The following is a 10,969-nucleotide window of genomic DNA, read 5'->3' on the forward strand; positions in this document are numbered from 1 at the left end:
CAACCAATGGCAGGGAGCTTGGTGAACCCCCAGTGCCTTGTGCAGTATTTGGCTCCTTGATATATGCATGTGAGTGAACTCTGTGTGTTGTCATCAGTGACAGCCTTGATTCAAGCTACTATTGAATAAATAGCACAGTTGTTTTGATACCACAAGGCGGACAGTAGATTTAGGTTTAGACAATTCTGTAATTTTCTGTTCTCGCATTTGTAATTAAGAGTCCTCCTTAAGCTCAACATTGAGTAATCAACAGGGTATACTGAAGCCAGGATCCAGGTCTTTCCACTCTGATCCTGGGGTTCAGATTCTCACTTTCTAAGGAAATTAATATTTTATTTTGACCTAAAGTTAATAGTTATTAGTGATTTAATACAGTCTCCCCTTCAGATCACATTTCAACTTTAATGATAATTTTTAATGAGATAATATAAAGATGACAATCGGCCGGGCACAGTGGCTCATGCCTGTAATCTCAGCACTTTGAGACGGAGGCGGGTGGATCACCTGAGGTTGGGAGTTTGAGACCAGCCTGACCCATGTGGAGAAACCCCGTCTCTACTAAAAATACAGAATTAGCCGTGCGTGGTGGCACATGTCTGTAATCCCAGCTACTCGGGAGGCTGAGACAGGAGAATGGCTTTAACCTGGGAGGCAGAGGTTGTGGTGAGCTGAGATCGCACAATTGCACTCCAGCCTGGGCAACAAGAGTGAAACTCCATCTCAAAACAACAACAACAACAACAACAACAACAACAGATGACAATCAACCATAGAGTTTGAAGCATTGTAGCAGAGAAAATCAGGTGGCCATTGCCGGACAGGAGCACATGTTCTGGAATTTCTGTGCTGCCTCCCGTCAGCTGCTCCGTGCCACTTCCAAGACCAATATTATAAGGTTCTGGTTGAGACACTCAATTTCCTTCGTGCTTAGTATTTGTAACCTGGAACATTTAAATACCATATAAATCTATTTGATTCATCAGTGAACGTGCAAAGTGTAACCACCCAAGCATTGTGTAAGCCCCCAAGTTTACCTGAAGGGAAAAGGCAGCTGCTGTTGAACTCCGCAACATAAGCCACATCACCCAATGCTTGGACTGTTTCTGAACAGGTACAATAAGAGAGTTTCTACAGCAGGCTGAGTATCTGTCCATATTCTTCACAGAAATAAAGAAGTGATGTATTTCCTCTCCTCAAGAAAGCCCATCTTGGCCGGGCACAGTGGCTCACACCTGTAATCCCTGCACTTTGGGAGGCCGAGGTGGGCAGATCACTTGAGGCCAGGAGTTCGAGATCAGCCTGGCCATCATGGCGAAACCCCGTCTCTACTAAAAATACAAAAATTAATTGGGCATAGTAGTGGGCACCTGTAATCCCAGCTACTCAAGAAGCTGAGGCAGGAAAATCACTTGAACCCGGGAGACAGAGGTTGCAGTGAGCCGAGGTTGCTCCATTGCTCTCCTGCCTGAGCGACAGAGTGAGACTCCGACTCAGAAAAAAAAAAAAAAAAAGAAGAAGAAAGCAAGCCTATCTTTGGATTCTTACCTAGGGTTAGGCATAGGCCACTGCAAGACTGAGCAAGACGGCAGAGTCTGGCTCAGCCAGGGCAGCGAGAAGGATGATCAGGCTTCCATGACTCACCGGCTGCCCAAGCCACCACACCCTCAGGGTGCATGGCGCACACTGAGAGCAAACTCACCATGAGAAGAGTCTGCCTTCACTTAATTTGCTAATGAGAAAGATTACAAACTGTGCTTTTGTTTGTATCTTTGTGCCCATTCATTTTCCAATGACAATGTTAATAAAACATGAAGAAAAATATTTTAAGCAAAAGACTGATGAAACAATTAAAAACAATTGAAGGGAAGCAAAGTTCAGAATATTCAAAATTGCTTTGACTGCATTTCATCTTGAGGAAAGTCGATGATTTCAGGTGCCATGCAACTTACCTAGGACAAGCCTTGGAATGCCTTCCCCTCATTTCTACTGATAAGCTGATGAGAGAACACTCAAGAAGAAAGGGAGAAAAACAGAAGACAAGGAACTGTAATGAGCAGACTCTCATTTCAAATTTTTGCCGCATTACTCAAACTCATAAATCAGTATTAATAAATGATAAAAATACTTTATTTCTTTAACACAGAATATACAATATTGCACTCCAGTTGCAAATAGTGTATAGAAAAAGCTCTGTTTAGAAACTGCCATAGCAATTGTCTAAGTCTACTAATGTTTTCTGGCATCACCAATGATAACCACAGTGCTGAACTTTGAACCAACTGAAAAAGGGGAATGTTCAATAAAGCCTCCTTTTTCTTCCAGTTTCAGTGCCCAGTAGTTTAAAACATTCTATTATGTTTAATTACATTTTGAAAAATTGTCGTTCTTTCATGAACAAATAAAAGTACCTTGCAGCCGTCACTATTGCCCATTCTTGTGGGAAGCAATCGCAAGCTTTTCATCCCGACTGAACTAAACAGTCTGATTTTTCTCAAAGTCACTCAGCAAATTGCGGTAATTCAGGTTTAGGCAAGAAGTTCTTTAGTTTTACTTTTTATATATATTTTTAGAGACAGGGTCTTGCTCTGTCACTCAGGCTGGAGTGCAGTGGTGCAATCATGGTTCACTGCAACCTTGAACCCCAAGGCACAAGTGATCCTCCCACCTTGGCCTCCCAAAGCATTGGGATTAAAGGCATGAGCCACCGCCCCTGGCTGAAGAAGGAACTCACCTCTTACACATACTCAAGATATGGAGCTGTGGCATGAATCTGAATGGAAGGGAAGGAAAATTAACTCACTTCTTTAGGAGTCTGATGCCACCCAGTTCCCCTGTTCTTCATGCCCCGTTTCTGATATCTACTTCTAGAATTCACTCCAGCTGAATTCTTCTCTTTTCCTGTGCCACCACCAAAGGTGCAAACATTTCTAAAAGATCTTGGTGGCTTTAGTGGAAACCATTTGGTTTTTACATTTTTCACCTATGATATGAATGATGAGTCTGCATGATTTTTATCTTAAATAAATCTGACCCAGGCTGCATCCATCCTGTTCTGACAGTAGAAAGGCATACACACTTTTACTTAAAGCTTTCATATCTAAAATTGATGGGACATCTGAAAATAAGGGAATTGGGTATATGAAAAGATCCTTTAAAAAACTGCTCTCATCTTTCACATTATCTTCTTTTTAACTAAGTGCAATACAGTGAACAGCAAAATAGCAGCATTTTTAGAGCAACCATTGGGGAAAATTCTTAGATCAGGGGACCTGCTGTCCTGACAGAGTCTATATTCGGCCAGCAAAGGCTCCCTAAATGTGTATCTGAGACTTATTTGAAAACAAGTCACCATAGTACTGAGTACTGAATTGAGTGGCAAACACTCCACTTGCAGTCAATGAAAATCCAATTACACAATATACACAAAGAGATGACCAAGAAAAACATGATTTAAAATTATACTGACAAAAACTAAAATCATATGAAGTAAAATAAAACTATCTGAAGACTAATAACTGTGTAAAAATAAATATCTAAGTAACCCAATGACCTACTCTCACGGTAAAATAGTTACGAAAAAAGAATACAATATTAACCAAAACTTGAATAATTCAAAATGAAATGGTTAACAAAATATCATATCAATGAGAAACCCATTTCTCTCCCCTCCACATTCTTCTCTCTAACGATTTTCTTCTTGAAAAGATATATTTTGATATTAAGCTTTCGAAGAATTGGCTGGGTAACAAATTTTCTTTGGGTTATTTCTCAGAAGGTTCTGAATCTGAATCTATTCACTCTGGGTGTCATAAGCAAGTTCAGAATTAGGGACCCAGTAACCCCCATGAACATTCTCATTATAGCCGCCCTCAGGCTGTCCCTTGTTTCAAAATATGCCCTTTGCAGAAAAGAGTGAATTGGTGTCAAATTTGGGTTGATTACGTCATATGTGGAGGTGTGAGTCAGATCAAAGGGCAGGGAAGAGGTCCTGCCTCAGATGCCCGTGTTCTGTGTAAACCAAAGTTTTCTGTTCTTTTTGGAAGTTGGGAACAAGAGAACCATGGAGTACATTCTAAATAGTGCTGCAAAAGTGAAATGTTGTATTCATCTGACCAAAGGAAACTCCAAGATTCTTCCGCTAACTCTCCAGAAACTGTCCAGTTGCAATAAAAGGTTTTGTTTATCAGTATTTAAACTCTAACTTATCTTTTAATGGGTACTTCCACATGCCTACAACCCGAATGGAGAATGACATTAATAGAATGACCTTGTAGCCCTCAAGTTATTTTAAAAGTGCTTTCTGACTTGTTAAATAAGATAAACAGTAGTATAATTTGGGAATTAACCGTAATTTATAGTGCAGTAATGCTCTGGCAATTGGGGTCAGCATGTGTGAGTGTGTGTGTTTACTCTTATTTGACCACATAATTGAAGTAGAATATGCCTTTTTATGATTACTTTGATTTAAATGATGTTAATCAGCCCAGGATGGTCAAAAGGGGCACATACCATAGCATTCATGCTTGGTTTTTATTTTCCTTGATTTAAAAAAAAATCAACTTAGATATTGTTAAAATGCATCACAGTACCTCTTTGTCAGCAAGTCAGTCAAAAAGATTTCCAAACAGCTTTACGGTTTCCAGCTGCCCTCTGGAAGCAACACTAGTTTCACCTCAAACAAGGAAGACACCTCTTGGAGTTTCAGCTGTTACAACTCAGCTAAATTTCAAGGTCTGTGTTCCCATATTCTCTGTAGTATTTTAAACCTTCTCAGAGCACTTGTTTTGTCAATGGGATGCTGCATTCCTGGTAAAACAGCAATCATGTGGTCACCTAGGCACACTAGCCAAATGGTCCTGGGATCCCAAATCACCCATGAAATCCTTCAAGAAGTCTTCATCATCGGGAAGGTTTGCTTCCTGAGGAGTTAAAGAAAAAATAGTGAATCAACTCCAGTCTAGACAAAAGTTAGTATAATGAAAACTAAACATTATACTGGTCTGGTCCCTGTAGTTTTTGTTTTCTGACATTCTCTGCATTTTGAAACATCTTCTTTTGCGTTTTAAATTTTGACAAGAGGTCAGTAACTTTATTAAATACAGCTATCATCTCGTTTCTCTGGCAGAACAAATTCCATCTCCCTGCAGGCCTTTTTCTGCGCTTTAAAAATTTCTCTTTGCCTCCAACTACTCATGGGGCAGTAAAGAAAATTTCTTTACATGTTGGTAAGGCCAGTGCTAACTACTACAGAGTTGGACAACAAAATAGGAAGCAATGCAGGCAGTTGAACTAAATATCTGAGGGCAAACAGATTCCTCCCTTTTCAAACACCAATATCTCTTAAAGGCCCAGGCGCGGGTCACACGACAGGGAAGAGTGGCCTTATGGCTACTCAAGCCACGTGTTTACCTAAAATGTGCTCCTAGTCGCATAGCTTCTCAGAATAGTCAAAGAAGAAAGGAAAAGAAAGCTGGATGTCCCGGGTTTATTTTTTCTGCATCTTTGCAAATATGAGACACAACTCTGTTCCAGGAGCTTTCGATGCGCTTCTACAGGTATTTCTTTTTTCTTTGTGTCAAGGATAAATGTGAAGATAGCTGTGGAATTGTCCGAACATTTTTGCCTTGAAATTAAGCAATGTTTTATGCCTAATTTCCCAAAGGACAAGTTATTTATGCCAGTATTAAAAGCAGCAACTTATATATTCTACGCAAAACAGAAAACCAGAAAGATCTAAATTTTGACAAGTCCCTAGTTTGATGAATTGAAAGACAGGAAGATGACTACATCACAGCAGATAAAAGAGATATTTTCATAAACTAAGCTCTGGGAAACAGAATACCAAAATTACCCATGTACAACCAACTACTGCTCATGGGTTCCCCAGAGGACTTGTGTGCGGATTATACGAGTCATTGCCCAGTTGTGATAGTCTCAGTTTTGAAAAGCAATTATCTTTACCCCATGGGGCAAGAAACTTATAAACGTATTTAGTTCTATTATAATTGAGACACTTTTATTATAAGTTGTAAATCTCTATCTACCAAGAGGACAAAAACCTCCAAATATATTTGTTTTCTCTTTCACTTAGAAAACCTACCTTTGTTCGTCTCAAGTTTTCTGAATCTTTCAAGAAATCCTAAAATGAATCCTTATAAATTTCAGCAGAAAAAGCACAGCTTAAATTCCTGCTTCCACATCTTCCAGAAGTTGCAGAACTGGTCTCAGAACAAGGGACTTCTGCAGGAAGTCAGAGGACCGCCCCACTGACCAGGTGTTCACACTCTGTCGTGGCTTTCCCTGCTGGTCTCCTCCAGTGGGAACACCAGTGCTGGGAGGTGGGGAGCTGTGAAGGGGCTAAGGTCATGAGCAGACACTGTTCCGGTGATCTGGAGAAAGCCCAGGCAACTCTGTTCTCCTCATACACCCCACCCCTGGTAGCCGGGCAGTAAGTCTCTGCATTGCAGTTTCAAAGAGGCCTGTGCTGTTTTGGGTCTAGGGAAGTACATTAGTAAAGAAAATCTTTATAGTGCTGGTGACTGCCAATTCCATATAAAAACTGGGGTAGCTTCTGTGGGACTGTACCCCTGCTCTGAGAAATAATGTGAAACTTCTCAGAAGACAGTTGCCATTGTCTCCAGTCTGGAACAAACGGGATTCAGGTGGAGGGAGACATGAGGGGAGGAAGAAGCCCATGAGCCTTTTTCCTGCCTCCATCCTTAGTGCCTTCCCAAACCTGCTCTCACTTTCCCTCTTCCTTCAACTATTTCTCTTTGTCATAAAAGTGAAAGTTCTCACAAGCTAACTAAACTTCTTATATTTTTCATAGGTCCAAGCCTAAAAGGTCTTTAGGATTTAGTCTATGAAGTCAACTAAATTCTCATTCAGGTCACTCTTTTGACATTGGCTAATTCGAGATGGGAACCAGCCTGGGTCTGGAGGGATCAGAGCAGGCTGCTTTTATTTTTATGTTGTCAGGTTTTACTTTGGTTTCATTTGTATGCCACATTATTACCTCCCCACTATTTATACCACCAAGTCTACCTACTGCCTGCACATGCTATGGCTACCTGGAGGGAGCTTATTCATAAATTTACTTCTCACGTACTTCAATAGACAACTTTTTTTTGTTTGTTTTCCATTTCTGGGTTTCAGTCATGCAACACAGATTATTACTACACAGACTAGAAAATGTAGAGGTTGAAAACCATCCGCCTATCTCCCTTCTTTTTATGGACAAAGGACGCCTGGTCTATAGTGCAGGAATCATTTGCTAACATAAGACAGGCCCTTAATTCTGGTTTAGTGCTCTATCCACCAGACACTGTCCCTCCACGGACCTGGCCACTCTCCAAAGCTCCTGCCCTACACATGGTGCCATCATGGAAATACCCTTGCCAGCATTCATTCATCTCAGATCCAAAAGACAATTTGTGAAAACTACAAATTAATGTTTGTTTGCTTTTTAGAACTTTGCCTATATATATTTGTTGGGAACTTAGGCTAGTGGAAAACACAAATCTTCTATAAATTATAAGGAAGAACTTAAGTCCTGAGCCTTCTGAGTTCAAGAAAAAGAATGAATTATCTTCTTCTCATTAATTTTCATGTCTGTACTAAAGTCATAGCCAGAGAAATTATTGGAGATATTTTTAGCTGTCAAACATAGGTGAGCCCTGTGCAAACATCTCTTGGGCAGCCTCCCCCAAACTCTACAGGCTGCCATGCATCTTCACTTAGTTTATCACAATGGCAGAAAATAATTTCATCTCATGATTTTTAAAATTTACTTATAGCAAGTTGTCATTGAAGGGTAAGAGGAAAAAAAAGATGTCGCAAAGTTTAAATTGTTCGTTCTCAAAGACAGCCCTGAAAAGGTTCTTTCTCTTCACTACTTTCCAAGACGCCCATAGGGAAGAGCAGGTAACAGTGAAGACCAGCACTCCTCAGTTCCCCAGTGAAAAGCAAAAAGAGCTCGAGGTCAATCCGGCACTACTGGTTGTCCAAAGGGAGGTTACTTCCTGTAGTGTCATCAGAGGCAAATAAACTATAGACTCTAGTTACAATCTAGTCCAATTTCCCCAGTTTAAAAACCTGAAGCTCTCAAAACAATTTAAATAAAATTTAGCCAAATAAAGATCTTTGTTGCTAAGTGAATGCCAAAGTGCTACAAGATCCTGTGGAGAAGTTCTCACCACTTCAGCACAGGCCTCCAGGAAAGTGCAGGGAGTCTTCCTTTCTGTTCCAGTAACACAGCAGCGCCTACCTAGGGCTGCAGGTGGACTGGTCAGCTCCAATCAAACATCAGGACCGCCCACAGCACAGGTCAATGAACTCAGGAACTAGGGCTCTCAAGCTGTTTTCAGCTCAGGAAAGAATACTAGGGGTGTAAAACTGCTTTCTGGCAGCATTTTGGATTTCTCCTGTTTTCACAATAATAAGCCAAATGGGACATATTAATTTGCAGAATTGCCTTTCCAGGCAGCCAGACGCAGCAGACTCCTAAGGGCCTGGACCAGCAGGTGCCTGGATTGGTACCTTCTGCTCTTCAGCAGCGGGGGCTCAACTCACAAGCCTCTGCGTCAGTCTCTTGGGTCCCTTTCACACTGTAGCTCAAAATCGCACTCAATTCTAAGCAGCTGTAACTGGCCATCGCCCAGCTCGGTCACACTCACCAAGATTCACAGCCCCGCACACGGCCAGCCCCGCCCCCAGCCTTCTGGGCACACACCTCGGGTCCGGCTCTGCTCCTGGCTGGGGGTCTCCTTGGCCTTCTTACAGGTGTACAGCCACTTGATGATGCGGGCGTTCCTCTCGATGACCGAAGTGGTGCTGGGCACCTGCTCTATCAGCTCCTCCTCCTGCAGCCCCTCGTCGTCGCCGCCGCTGTGCCGGGAGAAGCCGCTGCCGGAGGTGGCGACGCTCACGCTGCGCACCTTGAGGGTCACACAGTCCGACCCCGCGGTGAAGTTCTCCCTCCCCAGGGCCTCCACCACCTCGGGGTCCAGGCCGCAGTACTGGAAGAAGGTGTCAGACTCGGCCAAGGCAGCGGAATAGCGGGAGCTGAGGTCCGACTGTGAGCGCTGCAGCCCCCGACGCCTCACCACCCGCGGCTCTGGCCCAGGGGGCGCGGCCGGGACACTGGAGGGCGCCGCGGACCGCGCGGCTGGGGCTGGGGTCTCGGGGATTGCGGGGTCCGCCGCGGGGCCAGGAGTGGTCGGGACCGTCTCCGGGTTCCCGGCCTTGCCCTCGTCTCCCGTCCGGGGCACCGGCGCCTTGTCCTTACCCGGCCCCTGGAAGAGCTTCTTCACCAGGCTTGCCCTGGGGCCGTCGGCGCCCGATCCTCGCACGAATTCGCATTTCTGCCGGTAGATGATCAGCGAGTCCGGTCTCAACGGCTTCCGCGCAATAGCCCTGCGCGCCACCGGGGCCGGGGCGCGGGCCGGGGGCCCAGGGTCGTTCCCCGGGCACTTGATCGCCCCCGGGCCGCTGCCCTCGGAAGCGACGCCCCGGCCAGTCCCCGGCCGACCCCGCACATACTTGGCGCGATCCGCCGCCAGCCTCTCCACTGCGCTCCTGCGCGCCGGCCGCGCGGCGTCGGGGTCCCGGGTAGCCGCGGGGTCCCGGGGAAGGAGCCGCTCGTTCGGGGGCGCGCTCAGGGCCGCCAGGGCGCGCATCTTCGCGGGGAATGGACCGACCGGGGTTCCGGGTCCAGCGGAGACGCGCTCGAGTGGTAGAGCCAGTCAGTCCCAGGGCCGGTTCCGAAGTCCGCGCCGGGTGGGGAACGGCGCCCCAGTGCCCAGCTGCCCAGGCCCGGGGTTGGGGAGAACCGGAGTCTGCACCGATTGGCGAAACTCCCCAGTTCCCGCCCCTCCCGACCTCATCGCCCACACCGACTGGCACCGCCCCCGCCCCCGCCCGGTGCCCCGGCCCTGGCCGCGTCCCCGCATCCCCGCTCGTCCCCGCCCGTCCCCGCCTCCTCACTCCCGCCCGGGCCCGCCTCCCTGGCCGCTCTCCGGGTGCCAGCGCCCGCCCTCACCTCGCGTCCGGGGTCCCGGCCCTCACCTCCTGCCCGGTGCCGTCCCCGCCCCCCCTCACCTTCCGGCGGCGCTGCCAACCGCCTGGAGGACGCTGGGGCGAGCAGGCTCTGAACCCCCACTCGCTCAGCCCCAGATCCCCGAGGTCACTGCTGGACGCAGGCATTTCCGGGGAGGGGGAGCAGAGGGGACGTCCCCCCACCTCCCCCGGGCAGGTGCCTCACATCCTTTGAATTCTTAAAGTGACCTCATCGTGTTTGGAAACTTGACTGTTTAATTTTGTCTACCTGAGCTCATATTCTTATTAACAGAAAGGAATAGGACATAAGAGGAAAGAACACGCAGCGCACGCCAGGATCAGCCTACGTGTTGGGTGGCAAGAACGCAGGGCCTCGGATTGGGTCCGACTCGGTCGCTGGCCGGCAGCGGGCGTGGCCGGGCCCGAGGACCGAGCTAGGACTCTCAGTGGGGCAGGCTGGGGCCCCAGGCGCGGCTCAGTGGATTTGGAAGAAGCCCAGCCAAGTGTCCAGAATCATTGCTATTTTTACGGTAACCGAGGCAACGGGGAAACCACGAGTTCACCAGGCAGTGGATCAGCCTAGGAATGCTAAGAGTCTAAGATAAAATACTTCCCAAACTCCATTATTTCAAAAATTTGGACAAAATACTAAAGTTATCTCTCAGACATGTGAAATGTTCACGTTATCGCGTTGTGAAGACAACTCCGTAACAGGCTGTGCTTTCAGCCTTGTGGTTGAACGCTCCGAGCAGCAGCAGCCCGGAAGGCAGGGAGGGCGACAGGTGCAGATGGGCCCCCAAAGTGGGCACGAACACCTCACCAACGAGGAAGAGGACCGCAGCAGGGTGGTGCTGAGTGGGCCTTGGGGGTCTTTAATCTCCTTGAGCCCCAGCGAAGCAAAATTTCATAGGGA

The 10,969-nt window shown here is 46.4% G+C and overlaps 1 protein-coding gene across 5 annotated transcripts; it reads right to left on the reverse strand.

Moving 5' to 3' along the window:
* Positions 1-2,105: 2,105 nt before the first annotated feature.
* Positions 2,106-9,797, reverse strand: FAM110C (family with sequence similarity 110 member C). Of its 5 annotated transcripts, XR_001738890.2 has the most exons (4): positions 8,732-9,797; positions 6,101-6,240; positions 5,410-5,597; positions 2,106-4,919 (listed from the first exon to the last, which is right to left on the reverse strand). XR_001738890.2 is itself a non-coding variant. In NM_001077710.3 (2 exons), the coding sequence occupies exons 1-2, from the start codon at positions 9,675-9,677 to the stop codon at positions 4,900-4,902; spliced, it is 966 nt and encodes a 321-aa protein (NP_001071178.2). In that variant the 5' UTR covers positions 9,678-9,797; the 3' UTR covers positions 2,106-4,899. The 5 variants fall into 5 exon arrangements, 4 of the variants coding, with proteins under 4 accessions (NP_001071178.2, XP_011508674.1, XP_016860179.1 ...); NM_001077710.3 differs by lacking the exons at positions 5,410-5,597; positions 6,101-6,240; XM_011510372.3 differs by lacking the exons at positions 5,410-5,597; positions 6,101-6,240 and having other exon boundaries at positions 8,676-9,797.
* Positions 9,798-10,969: the final 1,172 nt, after the last annotated feature.

The sequence above is a fragment of the Homo sapiens genome, chromosome 2 (genome assembly GCF_000001405.40).
Source record: "Homo sapiens chromosome 2, GRCh38.p14 Primary Assembly".
In the NCBI taxonomy this organism is placed as follows: domain Eukaryota; kingdom Metazoa; phylum Chordata; class Mammalia; order Primates; family Hominidae; genus Homo; species Homo sapiens.